Consider the following 20,965-nt stretch of genomic DNA (forward strand, 5'->3'; position numbering starts at 1 on the left):
CCCCACCTAATTATCTTCTTCGTCAACCTTCTTGTATTCAAATGGAAAAGATTATTCTAAATGCTTGCTTAACACCTTTCCTTTGCTGCCACTTTTATTTTCATAATTACCCTTTTATGAAAGTATAAAAAGATTTAAAATGATTATTCTTGGAAGGAGGCCCAAGGTGAAATCCTGTTGTATTTAATGTGTAAATTATAATGTGTGCAGTTTTGAAGAAGGGTTTTGGTGAAATGCTCATGTAACTGCAAAAATTTAAAGGAAGCTGTCAAAGAGTTTACACTCTTTCATGGCTAATATTAATTGGAAAACATCTCATAATATGTTATATCTGAAGGATAAATGGATAAGTTAAACACAGCCATTAACTTTCTGGAAGACAGGAAGATAAAGGATTACAATAGCCTCTCAGCAAGGGTTTAGGAAAATGCAAAACCCCTTCCTTTCCTCAGTTACTTTGAAGCATATTTGAAATGATTAATTTTCCTGTGAATATTAAGAGAATTAAAGAATTGAGATTTGAATAGAAACTGTGTTACCTTGCTGACCTTGCTAACAACTGACCTTGCTTCCCCACTTTTCAAACTGAACTTGTGTATGGCTTTTCTGACCAAATGCATTTGAAGCAAAAACAATCCTTTCATCTAAATAGAAAACTAAAGGAAAACATTTTTTAGTTTTTATATCCTGCCAATTTTCAAAAAATCTCCCCTTCTAAATTTAGATTGTAAAAATATTCAGTGTGCTTGTCTCCTGTTGTGCTAATTGGTAACCCTGCCACCTGTTAATTTTGGTATTTTAAACCAGTTAGAGCGGGGTTAATGAAAAAAATCAATATATTTGGATCTTATTTCTACCTCCAAAACTCCAAAGAAAACTCACAAAAGTGCTTACAATAGCACAGTACAAAGTATCCTGGCAAAACATTTTGAATAATCCTTCTTTCCTTCTTTCCTTCCTTCCTTCCTTCCTTCCTTCCTTCCTTCCTTCCTTCTTTCTTTCCTTCCTTCCTTTGAACCAAGAACTATGTTAGACACAATCAAGGAATACTCACACGGTAAGATACAGTCCCTACTAACAGTAAACTTAAGAGTCTGGACAAGTAGCTATATCTTACTTAATTTAATGGTTTACAACAGGTAGAGTAGGACAAACTGCTCACTTTACCATGGTGCTGACATTAAATAATTTAAGTTGATAAAATGCCTAAAACGATGAAAGTGCTGTGCACCTGCAGGAAATGCCTGGAGCTGGAAAGGGTGTTAGGGTGAAGGTTATCACAACTTCTCTCATGAAGTGGAGGTTTCATTGTTCAGCCTACCCCATTGATGGACTTCAATTGCCCAAAATATTTTAGAACTTTAAATCTTCAGTGGTTTTCACCTTGAGAAATATTATTTATTCTACAAAAAGAGAAACAATCAACATATTTTTTTCTACTGAAGACTGGCTTTTAAATTCTATTTAACAATTATGTAATAGGAACATGTTCATTGCATTTGTCTTAGAAAAAGTCTTCACTGATGACTACTTTTCATTTCAGGATATAAAGGTGTATTTTTATCTCCTCTTGCCTTCAGGGAATGTTATTTAATAGCATATTTGTGATCTTCTAGCCTGTTGTGCCAAAAAATAGCATTCCCTCAAAGCAGAAAATAGATAATTCCCAGAAGGAGAAAGTCCAAAGACAACAAATACATACACCGAGCTTGTCCAACCCACAGCCCGGGGGCTGCATGTGGCCAGAACAGCTTCGAATGTGATCCAACACAAATTTGTACACTTTCTTAAAACATTGTGAGATTTTTTTTTCTCATCAGCTATCGTTAGTATTAGTGTATTTTATGTGTAGCCCAAGTCAATTCTTCCAAGTGGCCTAGGGAAGCCAAAAGATTGGACACCCCTGACATACACTAGGGGATTCTGTCACAGAAATTATTTTCTAAAACAGTAATTATAGTAATACTAATATAAGAGCAATGGTCTAAAGTCATGACACAAAATAAAAGCAAAAACACACAATACATACATAGTCTCATTTCTCATTTATAAATAGAATTCCCTCATGTAAATTTCAAAGAGGTTTTTAATATGTTTTCTATTCTCTTCCCTTACCCATATTTGAGGATAAATGTTGTGGTTTTAGGCATTGAACCGTGAATGTAAGGGTGTTTTACACAGTGGACACATTTACTGACAGTAAAACTACGGTTTTACAATTTGAGCTGTATCGGGATATTTTTCTAATCCTGAACTGAACTGATCACTAAACTGTATGGTTAGTCATCAGGAACATACCCATCCTATCCTTATAGGCCTGTACATCTGAACAGGATTTGAATCTAAAGTTAACTAATGTATTAACTAGTGGAATTTGATTTCATGCATATTTTTGTATAGAAGTCAGCTTTTAGTTACATTGCCCTTTTGGCAACATTGTCTCGTTGTTAGGTAGGAACTATATATTCAAATTATCATTAGTAGTATCAAAGGGACTCTCACATGAAATGCAGATCCACAATGGTCATGGCCACTGTTGATTTCATTTCGCTTCAGAAAATTGCAAAACATTCCATGGTGAGTCAAAAGTACTCATAAGGGAATGTAAAAAAGCAGAATCTTAAATAAGCAAATGTTATTGTTTTATTCTTTCTATGGTTAAACAAAAGATATGTTATAAGTATGGGGGGAAATATCACGCTTTTAGGAAAAGGTTGTCTTTTATAGAAAGGGTTTATTTATATTGAGTCATTGGAAACTAGAAGGAAATAGGAAAATAATCTTTGTCAGCTATTGGATCTTGGTAGGTTTATTTACTTAAAATAGTGAGAGAAAAGGAGATTTTAACAAATTGAGTAACTGAAAGTGATACTGCTGTTGACTAGGAAAAGTTAAAAAAGGGGAAAATATAACTTCAGAGACATCCTTGTAAAAACATGATCAAAGTGATTGTATAGTGCTACCACTATTATATCAGATGACTATTCATTTAAATTGGAAAATTTTGCTCAAAGATGTTCACATGTTGGTTGTTTTTTTTTCCTTTTGTACATTATTACATTATGAAGGATTTTAGAGAGAGGAGCTGCCAATTCCTCATAATTCTTTGAGTCAAATCATTTTGGTACCAAATAGCAGATGAAACTGAAGCATAGAGGTCAAGTTTCTCGGGGCCACAAAGTGAATCAATGGCATAGGTAAATTCAAGCAGCATTTTTGAGTCCACAGTTTATTTCTGGTTTGTTGTATTGTGCTACCTCCTGGAAACTATAATTTAGAAAGAAAAATTACTTTTTAAGTGTATTAGTTTGTATCCAGTTTCCTGGAATCAATTGTCTTAAGATTTACTTGTGATATTTGAATCTACCCAAATTTACCTGACTTCAAGTTCAAAGTGAGGGAGGGAAAAAATAGATCTTATTTATTTATTTATTTATTTATTTATTTATTTATTTTAAAATTTCCGTAAAATACACAAAACATAAAGTGTACCATCTTAACTATTTTTAAGTGTATACTTCATTTGTGTTAACAACATTCACATTGTTGTACAACAGAACTCTGGAAGTTTTTCTTCTTATGACATCTAATTGCTCATGAGCATGTCCACTGCCATGGCAACTTTAAAGATCTTCATGCTCATTTATTAAAGTCTAGCAATTTATCCATAATAATACCATAATGAACAACAAAGAAAATTATGATTTACTTCTCTATTTCCCAGTCACCTGCTATAATCTATTGTGTCCTTGATGAAAATCATCTTTATTAGTTTGAAAAAGGAAAGAGGTGTGGGGCAAAGATTTTCGGGGGAGAGATGCCTCACAAATGTTTTCCTGTCAAAGTAAGGAATGGGGAAGGGAAAATAATGAGAAACAAATCTGCATATAAACATGAAAATGTATTGCAGTTATATTAAGAAAAATTACAGTTGTGAAATTAAAATGCAAAGCTTCAACTCCTTAATCCTGCCTTAGAAGTAAGGACGTCTCAAGGTGCAAATTAAGTGTGTGTTATAGATGTAGGAGATAGTTGGGAGTGTTGGTAGTTCTAGTATTCAGGTGAGGAAAGTTTTGCAATATGTAAACTTCATGATGTATCCCTCTAGATTTTTTTCCTTTGGCATTCAAAATGATTTCAGTGGAAAATGTAAGTCTATTAGTAACTGCAAACATAGCAACAATACTGTCTTATAATTGTATATAACTTTTAAAAATCTGTGGTAAAATACACATAACATAAAATGTATCTTCTTAGCTATTTTTAATTGTACAGCTTGGTAGTGTTAACTATATTCACATTGTTGTGCTGCAGACCACTGGAAATTTTTCATCTTGCAAAACTGAAATTCTATAGCCATTGAACAACAACTCCCCATCTTCCCCTCTTTTCAACCCTTGGCAATCACATTCTTACTTTTTGTTTCCATGAATTTGACTACTTTAGATACTTCATGTAAGTGAAATCATATGGTATTTGTCTTATTGTGACTTCACTATTTCACTTAGCATGATGCCCAAAAGTTTCATCTATGTTGTAGCATGTGTCAGGATTCCCTTCCTTTTTAAGTTGTTTAGCACTTGTAACCTTGAAACCAGTGTTTAGATATATTGACTAATTACACGTATGTATCAGCTGGAGAAAATGCTATGGCATTTTGCACAAACTGCATGTTTTATTTATTTATCTTTCAATTTTCCATAGGACCAATCCTGCACCTCAATATAACTTAAAATAGAAATTAAAACAGACAGATTAGAAAGTGAAAATACGAAGTATATTTTGAAGTTAATGAATTATCTGCATCTGACCTGAACTATAACATGGTTATAATGATCAAATTCATAGATTATTAAGTTTACATCTCTAATCCTAATGTGGTAAAAAACTTCTAGAATAGTGATGTGATTTGCCTGAGGTCGCACAGCTCAATATGGCCAAACTAGTATATTAGATTTCTGTTGCTATACAACAAATTGTGATGGACAGCAACTGAAAATAACACCCATTTATTGCCTTGCAGTTCTGTATGTTAGAAGTCTGGATGGGCTTGACTGGGTTTTCTTCTAGGGTCTTACAAGGCTGAAATCAACGTGGTAGCCAGGCTGGGCTCATATTGGAGGCTCTGTGGGGAATAACTGTCTCAAAAGCTCATTGAAATTTTTGGCAGAATTTAATTCATTATGATTGTAGGGCTTATGTTGCTGTTTCCTTACTGGCTGTCAGTACAGGGCTGAGTTTGGCTTACTAAAATCATTTGCATTCCTTGTTGTGGCCCCCTCCATCTTCAAACTGGTAGTGGTATGTTCTTTGTTTTTCTTTGCACTTTATTTTATTTATTTATTATTTTTGAGACAGTATGTTGCTGTCTCACCCAGGCTGGAGTGCAGTGGCACGATCATAGCTCATTGCAACCTCAAACTCCTAGGCTCAAGTGATCCTTCTGCCTCAGCCTCCTGAGTAGCGAGGACTACAGGTGTGTGACATGATGCTCAGATAATGCTTTAATTTTTTGTAGAGATGGCTGTCTTGCTATGTTGCGCAGGCTCGTCTCAAACTCCTGGCCTCAAGTGATCCTCCTTCCTCAGCCTCCCAAAGTGCTGGGTTATAGGCATGAACCACCACACCTGGCTCTCCTCTCCACTTTTAAAGGGCTTACATGATTAGATTGGCTCACCTGGACAATCTCATTTTTTATTAACACAGAGTGAACTGATTTGTTATTTTAATCACATTGGCAGAATTTCTCTTGCTGTGTAATGTAACATAATCTTGGGCATGATAGCTCATGATATTCACAATTCTATTAAGTAGGGCTGGAAATCTTGTCATGGAGACAATTTTGAAATTCTACCTACTGCAACTGGGATTAGAACTCAGATTTCACTTTAAGTGCTTTCCACTGCACTACCTTGAATATCTACGATTGTTCAAGGTGCTTTTATTTTAAGATTAGTTGCTAATATTTATCCATGAAGAGCAAAAGTTTAAAAGGAGTTTAAGTCAGCAAGGAAACTGCCTTCTGAGTTTATTGATTGAATGTGTGTGCTTCCAGACTGTATCACTATCCATAGAGACTAATGCAGGCAGGTTAATAGTGATCAGCTTTCTGATGGACTTGCTCAAGTTCTTAAGATATCCTAAATTGTAATATTAACACCATGCTGCTGCATTTTCTGATTGCCATTCAAACTTGAAATGCTAACTGTTGAGGTTATCGTGAGATTATAGACTGACAATATTACAGGCTGATGATTATTGATGAGACTTCATTTATCAGGCATGGAAAACATTATTTTGGCTAGTTGCAATAGTATCCTTCTTGCTGGTATTAACATGTCCTTTGCAATAACCATTAAAGAAAGTCTGTTTGATGACACAAAGGAAAAGTCAGTGACCTTTCAAAAAAAAAAAAAAAAAAAAAAACCAGCGGCAGTTACAGCAAATTACACAGAAGCCTTCCCAAGGCAGTGGAGCTTAACAAAACATGGCCCCAGGAAACCTGATACCTTGAGATGTTTCTTCTGTGGTCAAATACTACGGTTAGCATGTAGTAAATTCACTAGTTTAGCTGGAGTGGAGGACTCATTTAAGTAGTAATTGGAGAAAAGGCAAAAAAGATATATTGGAGCAGGTTACCAGACTAAATCATTTAGACTTTATTTTGTATGCAGTCAGAAATATTGAAGGTTCTGGAGCAAAATATGACATAATGAAAGGGGTATTTCATCAAAATTCATTGCAGTTTATTTAGAATGGATTGGAACACAGTGAGGCAACCTGTTACAAATAACTAGGGCATGAAGGGATGAAGGCTTGAATTAGAGTGTCAGAAGTAAAAAACATGGAGAGAAGTGAAATATTGCAACACATATTATGATGGAACAAAAATATTGAAGACTCGAAATGAAAGGAGAGGACAAGGAGAGAAGTTTGTAGTTTTGGCATCGGAGAGCATTCCTATATTGCTGACAGAACAGGAGAAGGGTGGAAAGTGGGATTTGAGGGAAGAATACGCAGAATGTAAGGCACTAGTGGAATGTGTCCAAATGTGAATGTTAATTTCTTATCCATTCATCATAAGTTTTCCACAGTGATACTTTGTAAACTCAAGAATAACTTTGTTTTACAAACATTGTGTCTGACAGTGATATGATACACAATAGAAGGGGAAATATTTATTTAATTTGATTCAGTTTAAGATGTATTAATGTGCGGCTGGGCGAAGTGACTCTCACCCATAATCCCAGCATTTTGGGAGGCCGAGGCGGGCGGATCACTTGAGGCCAGGAGTTTGAGACCAGCCTGACCAATATGGCAAAACCCCGTCTCTACTAAAAATGCAAAAAATTAGTCGGGCGTGGTGGGGCGTGCCTATAGTCCCAGCTACTTGGGAGGCTGAGACAGGAGAATCACTTGAACCCGGGAAGCAGAGGTTGCAGTGGGTTGAGATTGCACCACTGCGCTCCAGCCTGGGTGACAGAGTGAGACTCTGTCTCAAAATAAAAAAAAAAGATTTACTAAGGTGCATTGATTCTACTGATGTTAACAGGAATTACACAAGCAGAAAGAGAAAAGGTTGCTAATAATTCAAGTCATACACTAGCATTTATGTTATAAAATCATTGTTAATTATATGAAGGTCTTTATTAGAATTCAGTGAATTTAGGACAAAAAGTAAACTTGTTTAAAGGTGCTAACATCAGATTTAAAGCACATTTCATTTAAATAGGGAACAGAGTCAAGTAAATGAAGTATAAAATACCTTCACAGTTATACTTCCTGTCAAGTGTGTAGTCAACCCATAAATTGTCTATGCCATCAGATTTCTTTTGTTTTTGAAGGAAAAGAAACAGAAATTCAGTATTAGTGAGAGAAAGAAGCATCACCATTTTAAAACATAGCTATAAATAATTCAATTTATTATAATTATAAGATTAATACATAAACATGGGTCGTTCTACTTGAGCCTTAACATTTTAATGCATGACCCATTGACAAGTGGAGGTTTTCCTTCATCCCCCTCAACAATCTTATGTTAATTTCCTTAACTTGCCTGATACTAACGAAATGCTGGTGTTGATGCTCTTAGTATATCTACGCTTAAGTTTGGGATATGCGTATAAGATCTGAAAAGGGTAGAAAATGCTAATAGAATCTAAATGATCTTCTCTCTGGTGTGTTTTTAATTCTTTGTATTGATCACTCCTGAAGACATGATGAACCATACTTTAAGTTCCCATGAACCAAGAGCTGATTGATGCCCAGTTTAACATAAGCACCATTTTATGAGAGTTACCATAGTGATCAGGTTCCAGTTATCAGCTTGAACAATTTAATATATGATTAATGTTAATTGCCCATTTTGCATGGATGACTTCTTCCTGGTTGCTGAATTGGTTGCTGCTGCCTTTGATCTAGTTGGAAATTCAATCCAGTGCAATAGTTAGGCAAGTGATCTGTTTGCCAGCACAGAAAAGATGGATTCAGTTTGCTGTGAGGTCAGAGTTTGTTTCTCTTCATAAACACTGGAAGGTCAGGTAGAGTTTAGCTACCATTGGCATCCTTAAAATGTTGTAATAAATGTCAGACCTAAGAGATTTTTATTAATCCACACAGCAGTTGGAAGTCTTACTGTTCTGGCAAAATAAAGAGATTCTTATTTAATATAACGTGCACATTGAAATTCAGAGCAGCACTTTCATAGTCAGGTAAACAACGCCTTCAAAGCTAATGTCATTTTTGGTTTTCTGGCTTCTAATGTACGCTAAACAGTGACACATTCAGGTACTATCTCAAGGGATTTTAAATATCAGTGATAACTCTGAAAAGTAAATCCCAAGTCATTGGTAATGGCTTTCACTTCAGGAATTCAATTGCAGTGGTTTTTACAAGTTGCTGCTAATACCACCCTTAACTACCACTATATTTGCAGCAATTTTCACAGACTGTCCTGGGATGTTATAAGTGTTTCTTTAAGAAGTAGGAAGACAAGCTTTCATTGAAGGGATGACATAAACTGTGATTCCTTGCTGAATCAAGGACTGCTCATATGATTTATATTAAATATCTTTAAAGCTTATGACATCATTAATTAATTAACTGGATTTTTTCTTTGGAACAACAAAAATCACTCTTACTCAGTTGCTTACTCCTTGAATCACAAATGACATGAAACAAAAATAAATTCAACAGTCAAATTTAGTAATCTTAATGAATGATGTATGAGCTACCTTCTCTATTGCTCAACTTGGAATAGATATATCACAGAATGTGTCCTATCTTATTGACACTAGAAGACTTGCTGAAATTCTCTCTTAGGGAATTGCCAACTCTACAAAGTTTGTAAACTTCAAGGTAATGCTCTGATGGTAATCCACTTCAACTGCAGAAATATGAAGTACTGTTAATATATATTTTAAGTTGGTTTATTTTTCAATCTCAGGAAGCTGGGTGAGTATTTCATTTCTTCTAAAGAAGTTTACAGAATGACGGGGAAATCATATGAGGATAAATTATGTTAAGGGATGACCTGGGCCCAGAGAAATTATGATTATTTAGTGTAATTTCCCTTTAAATAACCTAGAAATATTACACTTAATGTGAATTCTATAAAGCTGAATCTCTCCAAGATTTAGCTGAGGTATTTATTAAGTTTGACTATTTTATGGGGTTGTTTGCCTTGTACCATAACAACTTTCCTTTACAGTGTACATGAGTGATATATTGGCAGAGCCATTTGGATGGGAACTTTGTAAAAAGGCCTGTTTTATTTTACAGACTACAAATAACCTTGTAATTAAACTGAAAACAAATAATTGCCAAGAAACAATTATCATTTAATTAAAGAGTAATTACATGGTTATTCGTGCCCTGTAAAATAAAGCATTACTAAGATCAGTAATGCAATCAACATTTTAGTAGAAGCAGGTGCTACAATGATGGACCTTTCAACCTATGCCGATTAAATTGTCATCCAAATAACAGTTACCTAGTTAAACCACCACATGTTTATTTGCCTTGATTAATATGTGAATATCTGCCTGATGCTAATACAGCTCTTAAAGATAAGAAGTATGGCAAGATCATATATCAAGAAAGATCCTTCCCAACTTTTTACAGAGTCCTCCACAATCTTTCATCGTGTTGTCAGGTTCGTGTTCTTTAAAATGAAGTGCAGGAATGTCTAGGAATGTCGTACTATGGAGAATCAGTAGGTCTAATAGAATAAAGCTATCTTATATTTGTATGTAGGTATATTGACTATAAAGCACTTTCACAAACTTCATTCCAATTAATTTACTCTTGGGGCCCAAGTCTTTGTTCCAAAATTAAAAACAAAGAAATCTGAATGTGATATTTGATGACTGATAAATGTAAACAAGTTTGGAAGCAGGGATCTCACAACCATACTCACTAAAGGGTCAATCAGAAATTTTAAATAACAGGGCAAACACACATCTCTATAACTAGACCACAAGCTCCTGAAAGGCAAAACTTGTTCTAGGTTCTCACAATATATCAATGAAAAAATCAAACCAAAATCTTTGCCCTCGTTGAGGTTACATTTTACCCTCTGTGTCACTGATACCTAGCATTATACCACACACACGCTTAATGGGTACCTAGTGCATGTTTGTTTACTAGATGACTGAATAAGTGATATCGTTACTGCCTATGTGTGACTACAGGGGCCTTTATTCCTTAAGCAGATCTTGAAGCTTGTAGGGCTTCTAAGTGAATAAGACAATGGGATCTATCCATAGCCTTCTTTACCCTTGTACACAGTCAGATTTGAGTTGATCATGTTTTGAAGCTGCTATAGTTATTGTGAAGTTCAAGATTTAAAAACACAATTATGTTATGATTAAATGAAACTGGCTCTCTGTTCTTGTGATCAAAGAGACCAGAGTAATTGAAGGAATATTTGGAAACTGTACAAGCAGTGAAAGATTGTTTCCTATGTATATTAATTAATTGTTTTAATTAACTTTTTGCTGGATCTTACTTTCTGCTAGAAACCATGAGAATTGCTTAGGATACAGTAACAAACAAAACCAGACAAGTATGCTACCTTCATGGAGCTTAGATTCCAGTTGGGGAGACTCACAATTAATCATACCAACAACATAAAATTATGAACTGAGATGAAAGTTAGGATGGATAATATGGTCCTCCTGGATTTTATAACATGGGGAATAGATAGTACCAAGCCATTTGTGAAATAAGCTGTGAAACCATTTTTTTTTTTTTCAAATCTTCACCTTTAAGGTAGAACTACTGGACTAAGAGGCCTCTAATGCTTCCCAAGCCTGGGTCAGATTGTTGGAAAAGAGTTGCTTCAGATAGTGAGAATTGACCAAGAAATTTGGAACAGAACTAGTTAAACCTTATGGCTTTCAAAGTGTACTGTTAACTGCTGGCAGTCATATGGCTCATCACGTGGAAGTAGAGGGAGCATCAGGCTGCTTAGTTCTGGAGGCAGCCAGTCTGAAAGTGTTCATGAGAATGGAGATAGCACTGAGATGTTTACAGCGGACAAATACAAAGACTAATCAGGTGTGTTTAAATAAAGTTAGTAGGCTTGAGTTCTGACAAATAGAAGGACACAAAAAAGCATTTAGAAAGTATAGATTTGATGAAGCTTATTCGATAAAATAATGTGTCTTTCTCTGATGCCTGGATATATTCCGATGAACATTTTTCAGTGATATTGGGATCCTTTAGGACATTCGAAGTACATAGGATATTTCTGCTTCCAGCATTCCTTAAAAGAGTCAGAAAGCCATAAAATAGGGCAAAGGCAAACACGGTAAAACACTGAGTTAAAGAAAATAAATTATGGCCCAGAATCAAGTAGAAAGAAGGAGAGGAGAGTCCATTTATAAAATTGAAACATCAAATGAGAAAAACAGAATCTTTTGCGCTAGATTGATATATAATATTGATGTACAGTGGAAGAAAATAACACTAGCACAGTGTATGAAAAATGAACTGGGTAACGATACCTCCGTGTAAGGTTGCTAGAAGTTGTTTTTCATTTAAAAGCAGAGTTTGTCTTACATTGATGGATCATTTTGCTACTGCAAAGTTGATAGAGTGAGGTTTAACTTAAATTTCTTTGTAAACCAAAAGTCATTTTGGGGTATGTTCTCTATCTGAACCTCATACATTTTTGCTGCTAAAATTATTTAATATAGTATTTTGCAGTATTTTGTCAAAACTCATATCATTCAGCTTTGTAAAATGCATTTCTACTAAAAGGCAACAGCAATATCTTAGGCAACATTAGAAAGTAATATTTGAAATATATTGGGTGACTCGAGAATAACTTGATCCTAATGTTCTATGACTTACAAGTCTCTTCATGTAGTGACAGCTTTAAAATGATATTTTCAGTACCCTAACTCTATTACGGTACAAGATGGAGGCAACAGATACTGACTTTTTATTTCATTATTAGCATTTGCAATTACAGTTTCTGAACTGCTAATGGGTGAAGAATGTACAAATGCAATGGGTTAGGTTAATGTTATAAGTTTATCATCAACTCATTAGTTAAAAACACCAATCAATCCGAGAGAAAAGACAGCCTAGACTGCAAAGGTGGCAGGTTTTGTTAGTGTGGCCACTCCAAGAGAGTGAACTGCTTGTTATACAGCTTGGTTTAAAAACTACATAGGAAAACAAAACCTACTGAGGGTGGTAACCCTTTGTTCCTCGTTGGCTCCCAGCAGCTGTGGAAATGCTAATAAACATCAGCTTCTATTCTACATCTCTCAGCTCTTTACTATTCACCTCTGGCATGCTGGGCAGAGACTTAATCACTTCACATTCTATATAATCTTAATTCTGTGAGTCACTATCTCAGATCTCAGAAGCATTTATTAATACTTCAGATCAAGCGTAGCTTTAAAAGCAGGGGTAACTTAGGGTTTCTCACACAACAGGTAAGCTGCATTGCAAAGTGCTGGCCTGTAAATGGAATCTAAACTAAAATTGATCCCTTATGGCGCTAATGTTTGCCATAACAATGGTGGAAAATTTAGCGGAAAGTAAAGAATTGGTCTCTTAGTAATCCACGAAAATAGTCTTTAATGTAAAATTCTATCACTTTTGGCAATTAAACAAGATTTAAAAGGTAAATATTGCAAGTGATGGTTTTCTCAAAAAGAGTACATTTTTAACCTTTATCTATATTTGTCTGTTTTTCAACAGTTCAAGACCCGGCAGGCCCCCTAAGCGTTCTTTGGGAGTGTTGCAGGAAAATGCCCGCCTTCTGACCCATGCAGTCCCAGGCCTCTTATCGCCAGGACTTATCACTCCGACAGGTAATAAAATCCATCTGATGATCAGCCATGTCTCTTCGTACTGCCCAGCATTTGAAATAAACCAATATTGATCTAACTGCCTTGTCCTTCAGAGCTTTTCAAGCTCTATTAGAGGTTACATTACTGAATTTTTTTATGTGTTCGTGAAAACAAATTTTTTTACTTGAGCGACAAATCAAATGGACGTGATTTTAAAAATTGTCGTATCATTGCAGAAAATCCCTTTCAAGGCCTTATTGTTTGTATATATGTATATGTTTCTGTGCTAGGGACAGGAATGGAGGCACTGGCCCAAACAGCATCATCTCGAAGCCTCCTATAGGGTGCAGCACTCCTGTATACTTAGGTCTCAGTAATATTCTTTTAGTTTCCAGTGGTTCTGGGCATTCATGTATGTTGTCCAAGTTATTACTCTAGGTTAAAAAGTAGACCTAAAATGCATCCTTGGTATAGGAGCCTTATGATTAGAGAAGAAGAAGGTGCAGGTGGTCATTGTCCTGAACAATGTCTTAGTGTTTTTCATTGAACGCTGTGAATAACTGGTAAAACTCCAGTGTTATAAATTAGCATTGAACTTTGTTGAGTCCTTAAAAAAGTACCTGAGAGTACACAAAAACACTTTAAAATAAGCTTAATATTTCTATAATTGAATCTTTAAAAATCATTAAAGCTATTACATCATAGAAAATGAATTTAATAACAATGATATCTTTATACATAATGATACGAACATTTATAAAGCATCTGTTGTGTTCTGGGTACTCATTTCTAGGCATTGTAAAAATATACGAGTAGTGGTCCTTGCCACGCTAGAACTGGGGAGAGTGGAATGTAAATTAATAATTGCATTAAAGTGTCATAGAGGCCAAAATACAAGCACATACAAGGTGCTATAATATCATGTAAATGGAAGCAGTTATATCAATTTTGGTAAGTTGGGTAATACTCCATAAGATGGAAACTTTGGAGCTGTATTTTGTAGGCTGAGCATTGGACAGATGCAGAATCAGAGGAAGAGCATTCCAAGCAGATAGAAGAGTACAGATAGATGAGAAAAAGCCCAGTGTGTTATGGGGAGTAGCAGTTAAGTTGAAGAGACTGGAGCAGAGCTTTAAGGTAGAAGACTTATAGGTGATGTGGTTGGAATAGAAAGGGAGGGAAAAGCCAGCTTCTGAAACCAGTTTTTGATTTACCATGTTAAGCAATTTAAGTTTTTCCCTTTAGACCAGTGGTTTCCAAAGTGTCTTTCAGGACTTTCCTTACTGGCTGACATAGAAGTGAGGAAGTACTTACATGCTCCACACTTCTGCCTCAGTTAGAATTTTATATGTTCTCCTTCACTTATGATTTTGTTTTGTTTTATTCTTAAAGAAACTTCTATAGGTAAAAGGAGCCCTTGCTAAGGAACTGAGTAAATGATCAGAAAACAATTGCCTGGAGGGTTGATAGCAATGAAGGTAATGAAATGAAGGAATATCCGTTGCTACTGTCCAAAGGAGAAATATTGAGGGCCTGAAGGCAAATCCAATAGAATGGAGAAAAGGTTCTGAGTGCTTCAGTAATTAGAGTTAATCACACTTGATAATTGATTAAATGTAGAGGCTAAGGTGGTGGTCTAGGATGATTCACGTCTAGCTTGGGTGATAGGCTGGATGATGGTATAATTAACTCAGACAGAGAACTTGGGAAGACACTCAGGCTTTGAGGGGGAAGATAATGAATTTTCAACTTTAAATATTTATAAACAAATTCTGATATAAGAGAGTAGCCCTGTGCATATAAATGAAGATAGAAAGCATAACAACATCTGAAATATATCTTGGTATTCAATGAATGACCATCTATTTCTTGCCTCCTGAAATACATTCCTAGAGCCTAGAAAGAGTACCATGCAAATAATCAAATCTGTGTCCTGGTTTTGTGGGAATGTACAGATGAAAGAAGAAAAGAATTTTAAAATTGCCTTGAAGCTAAATCATGTTGAGTAAACATTAGTAGGTTATTTGTTGAGGAAAAGCTCTAATATATATTAAGTTCTTTTTATGTACTAGCCGTGGGTGCCAAGTGTTTTATATATACTTCATTTAATCTTCATAGTAGCCTTATGGACAATGACTTCATTTTTAAGGTAAACAATCTATGGCTCCGCGAGTTTAAATTATTTGCTTAAGGTCACAAAGCAAGTGAGTGGCAGAACTGAGTTTCTTTTTTTTTTAATTTTATTTAGTTTAATTAATTTATTTTTGTTTGTACATATTGTTTCATCACCCGGGTATTAAGCTTATTACCCAATAGTAATGTTTTCTGCTCCTCTCCCTCTTCCTGCCCCTTCTCAAGTAGACCCCAGTATCTGTTGTTCCTTTCTTTGTGTTCATAAATTCTTATCATTTATCTCCCACTTATAAGTGAGAACATGCGGTATTTGGTTTTCTATTCCTGTATTAGTTTGCTAAGGATAATAGTCCTCAGCTCCATCCATGTTCCTACAAAAGACATGATCTCTTTTTTATGGCTGCATAGTATTCCATGGTGTATATATACCACATTTTCTTTTTTCAATCTGTTATTGATGGGCATTTAGGTTGATTCTGTGTCTTTGCTATCATGAATAGTGCTGCAATGAACATTCACGTGCATGTTTCTTTATCATAGCATGATATATTTTCCTCAGGGTATATATACCCAGTAATAGAATTTCAGGCTGATAGTTCTGCTTTTAACTCTTTGAGGAACTGCCATACTGCTTTTGACAATGGTTGAACTAATTTACACTTCCACCAACAATGTATAAGTGTTCCTTTTCTCTGCAAACTCGTCAGCATGTTTTTTGACTTTTTAGTAATAGCCATTCTGATTGGTGAAAGATGGTATTTCATTGTGGTTTTGATTTACCACAAATCTAATGATCACAAAATCTAATGATACCACAAAATGTAATGATCAGTGATATTTAGCTTTTCTTCATATGCTTGTTGGCTGCGTGTATGTCTCCTTTTGGAAAGTGTCTGCTCGTGTCCTTTGCCCACTTTTTTTTTTTTTTTTTGAGATGGAGTCTTGTTCTGTCGCCCAGGCTGGAGTGCAGTGGTGCAATCTCGGCTCACTGCAACCTCTGCCTCCTGGGCTCACGCCATTCTCCTGCCTCAGCCTCCCGAGTAGCTGGGACTACAGGCACCCACCACCACACCTGGCTAAATTTTTTTGTATTTTTAGTAGAGACGAGGTTTCACCATGTTAGCCAGGATGGTCTCAATCTCCTGACCTCACGATCCACCCACCTCAGCCTCCCAAAGTGCTGGGATTACGGTTGTGAGCCACCACGCCTGACCCTTTGCCCGCTTTTTAATGGGGTTGTTTGTTTTTCTCTGGTAAATTTGTTAAAGTTTCTTATAGATGCTGGATACTAGACCTTTGTCAGATGCATAGTTTGCAAATATTTTTTTTCCATCGTGTAGGTTGTCTGTTTACTCTGTTGATAGTTTCTTTTGCTGTGCATAAGCCCTTAAGTTTAATTAGATCCCACTTGTCAATTTTTGCTTTTGTCGTGATTGCTTTTGGTGTCTATGTCATGAAATCTTTGCCCATTCCTATGTCTAGGATGGTATTGCCTTGGTTGTCTTCAAGGGATTTTATAATTTTGGGTTTTACATTTAAGTCTTTAATCCATCTTGAGTTGATTTCTGTATATGGTGTAAGGAAGGGGTCCAGTTTGTCTTCTGCATATGGCTAGCAAATTATCAAAGTGCCATTTATTGAATAAGAAAGTTTTCTTCCTATTCCTTATTTTTGTCTGCTTTGTTGAAGATCAGGTGGTCATAGATGCATAGCATTATTTCTGGGTGCTCCAAACTGTTCCATTGGTCTGTGTGCCTGTTTTTGTATGAATACAATGCTGTTTTGGTCACTGTAGCCTTGTAGTATAGTTTGAAGTTGGGTAACATGATGCCTCCAGCTTTGTTCTTTTTGCTTATGATTGCCTTGGCTATTTGGGCTCTTTTTTGGTTCCAGATAAATTTTAAAATAGGTTTTTCTAGTTCTATGAAGAATGCCATTGGTAGTCTGACAGGAATAGTATTGAATCTGTAAATTGCTTTGGGCAGTATGGCCATTTTAATGATATTGATTATTCCCATCCATGAGCATGGGATGTTTTTCAATTTGCTTACGTCTTCTCTGACTTCTTTGAGCAGTGTTTTGTAATTCTCATTGTAGAGATTTTCACCTCCCTGGTTAGCTCTATTCCTAGATGTTTTATTGATTTTATGACAATTGTGAATGGGATTGCCTTTCTGATTTGGCTCTCAGTTTGGCTGTTATTGGTGTATAGGAATGCTAGTGAGTTTTGTATATTGGTTTTGTATCCTGCAACTGTGCTGAAGTTGTTTATCAGCTGGAGCAGCTTTGGGGCTGAGACAATGGAGTTTTCTAGATACAAAATCATGTCACCTGCAAATGGAGATATATCAACTTCCTTTCTTCCTAGTGGGATGCCCTCTGTTTCTTTCTCTTGCCTGATTGCTCTGGCTAGGAGCTCCAATAATATGTTGAATAGAAAAGTTCAGAAAGGGCATCCTTATCTTGTTACCGTTTTCAAGAGAAATGCTTTCAGCCTTTGCCCATTCAGTATAATGTTGGCTGTGGGTTTCTCATAGATGGCTCTTATTATTTTAAGGTATGTTCCTTTAATACCTAGTTTATTGAGGGTTTTTAACATGAAGATGTGTTGAATTTTATCATAAACCAGTTCTGCATCTATTGAGATAATCATGTGGTTTTTGTCTTTAGTTCTGTTTATGTCATTAATCACATCTATTGATTTCAATATGTTGAACCAACCTTACATCCTGAGGATGAAGCCTACTTGATCTTGATAGTTTATCTTTTTGATGTGCTTCTGAATTCAATATGCAAGTGTTTTGTTCTGGATTTTTTCATCGATGTTCATGAAGGGCATTGGCCTGAAGTTTTCTTTTTTGTTGTGTCTCTTCCAGGCTTCAGTATCAAGATGATCATGGCCTCATAGAATGAGTTAGGGAGGAGTCCCTCCTCTTTAATTTTTTGGAATAGCTTCAGTAGGAATAATACCAGCTCTTCTTTATACATCTCGTAAAATTTAGCTATGAATCCAACAGATCCCAGGTTTGTTTTGGTTGGGAGGCTATTTATTATGGATTCAATTTCAGAGTGTGTTATTGGTCTGTTCAGAGAATCACTTTCTTCCTGGCTCAGTTTTGGAGGGTGTGTATGTCCAGGAATTTATCCATCTCTTGTAGGTTTTTTAATTTTATGTGTGTAGAGGTCTTCATAGTAGTTTCTGATGGTTGTTTTTATTTCTGTGGTGTCAGTAATAACATTCCCTTCATCATCTCTAATTGTGTTTATTTGTATCTCCTCTCTTTTTTCCTTATTAGTCTAGCTAGTGGCCTATGTATTTTATTAAATTTTTCAAAAAAACTTCCTGGATTTGTTTATCTTTTGAATTTTTGTTGTTGTTGTTGTTGTTTCTCAATTACCTTGAGTTCAGCTCTGATTTTTTTTATTTCTTCTCTTGTGCTAGCCTTGGGCTTGATTTGTTCCTGCTTCTCTAATTGTATCAGTTGTGAAGTTAGGTCGTTAATTTGAGATCTTTCTAACTTTTTTATGTTTACATTTAGTGGTATGAATTTTCCTCTTAATACCGCCTTAGCTTTGTCCCAGAGATTCTGGTGTGTTGTGTCTTTGTTCTCTTTATTTTCAAAGTACTTTTTGATTTCTGCCTTAATTTCATTATTTACCCAAAAGTCATTCAGGAGCATGTTGCTTAATTCCCATGTAATTGTATGGTTTTGAATCATTTTCATCGTCTTCACTTCTGTTTTTATTGTGCTGTGGTCCAAGAGTGTGTTTTGTATGATTTTGGTTCTTTAAAAATTTGTCGAGGATTGTTTTATGTCCAATTATGTGGCTGATTTTAAAGTATGTGTCATGTGGTGGTGAGAATGTATATTCTGTTGTTTTTGGCTGGAGAGTTATGTAAAGTTCTATCAGACCCAGTTGGTCCAAAGTTGAATTAAGGTCTTGAATATCTTTGTTCATTTTCTGCCTCAATGATTTGCCTAATACTTTCATTGGAGGGCTGAAGTCTCTTACTATTATTATGTGGGAGTCTATGTCTCTTTGTAGGTCTCCAAGAACTTGTTTTATGAATCTGGGTGCTTCTGGGTTGAGTGCATATATATTTAGGATAGTCAGGTCTTCTTGCTGAATTAAAGACTTTACCATTATGTAATGCCCCTTCTTAAAAATATTTCATTGGTTGGAAATCTGTTTTTTCTGAAATTAAGGTTGCAACTCCTGCTTTTTTTCTGTTTTCCATTTGCTTGGTAGATTTTTCTCCATCCCTTTATTTTTGAGCCTATGAATGTCATTAATTGTGAGATGGGTCTCTTGAAGACAGCATGCCTTTAGGTCTTGCCTTTTTATCCATCTTGCCACTATGTGCCTTTTAAGTGGGGCATTTAGCCCATTTACATTCAAGGTTAGTATTGATATTTGTGGATTTTATCCTGTCATTGTGCTATTAGCTTGCTATTATGTTGGCTTGTTTTCGTGGTTGCTTTAGGGTGACACTGGTCTGTGTGTTTAAGTGTGTTTTTATATTAGCTGGCAGTGGTCTTCCCTCGCTTTGCTTAGTGCTCCTTTCAAGATCTTTTGTAAGACAGGTCTGGTGGTAAGGAATTCATTCAACATTTGCTAATCTGAACAGGATCTTATTTCTCCTTCACTTAGGAAGCTACGTTTGGCTGGATATGAAATTCTTCGTTGAAGATTTTTTTCTTTAAGAATGTTGAATGTAGGCTTCCAATTCCTTCTGGCTTACAGGGTTTCAGCTAAGAGGTCCACTGTTAGCCTGATACGGTTACTTTTGTAGATGACCTGCCCTTTCTTTCTAGCTGCCTTTACCATTCTTACTTTCATTTTGACCTTGGAAAATCTGATGATTATGTGTCTTGGGGATGATCTTGTGTAGAATCTTGCAGCAGTTCTCTGTATTTCCTGAATTTGACGGTTGACCTCTCTAGCAAGTTTGGGGAAGTCTTCATGGATGACATTCTGAAATATGTTTTTCAAGTTACTCATACTGTCATACTCCTTGGATTCAAGCTTTGTTTTACTTCCTGCCACTTGGCTTTACCATCAAGTGAGCCATTGAGACAAAACTCTTCAATTTTTAGTCCTTTGCTTGTGCCTAGAATGGGATTATAGAGCTAGACAAAACGTTGAGTGAGGAAAGACATGAGCACATTTGTTAAAGATGCAGACAGTTAAAAAAGTAATCAAGGGAAGGTGGAGGAATCTGCAGAGCTCTACATAAATTCCTTCCTTAGTTTACATGAATTTATTTTATATGCCCAGCAGTATCTTATTCACCTGCATTCAAATGTGTGGAGGAAAAGTTAAATTGTTGGTCTTTTTTCCTCAGCAGGTGCATGCAAAAAATGCCAGTGAAAAGGATTAGAAAAGGTTCAGGCATCATTCTTAGATTTATTTCAGAATAGTCCTTTAATTTATATAGCTTGACATGTAAATCATCCAGGATGCAGTATAATGTTAGGTGTGCCATATTGCTTTATTTGCATACTATAAAGATAAAGTCT

The 20,965-nt window shown here is 35.6% G+C and overlaps 1 protein-coding gene across 8 annotated transcripts in view, besides 1 other annotated feature; it reads left to right on the forward strand.

The window, feature by feature from the left end:
- DACH2 (dachshund family transcription factor 2) overlaps window positions 1-20,965 on the forward strand; it is a 684,152-nt gene that overhangs the window by 352,610 nt on the left and 310,577 nt on the right. For all 8 annotated transcript variants that reach the window (XM_011530846.3, NM_053281.3, XM_017029254.2 and 5 more), the window contains one exon: window positions 13,219-13,331. In XM_011530846.3, the coding sequence (XP_011529148.1) occupies window positions 13,219-13,331 (113 nt within the window). The remainder of the gene's footprint in view (window positions 1-13,218; window positions 13,332-20,965) is intronic.
- Window positions 12,480-12,995: an enhancer, noted in NCBI's record as "NANOG hESC enhancer chrX:85768543-85769058 (GRCh37/hg19 assembly coordinates)". NCBI's record gives its function as "activates a minimal SCP1, AML or CMV promoter by ChIP-STARR-seq in primed H9 embryonic stem cells {active_cell/tissue: H9 hESC(primed)}" and the evidence as "EXISTENCE:reporter gene assay evidence [ECO:0000049][PMID:30033119]".

Source organism: Homo sapiens, chromosome X, assembly GCF_000001405.40.
Source record: "Homo sapiens chromosome X, GRCh38.p14 Primary Assembly".
Lineage (NCBI taxonomy): Eukaryota > Metazoa > Chordata > Mammalia > Primates > Hominidae > Homo > Homo sapiens.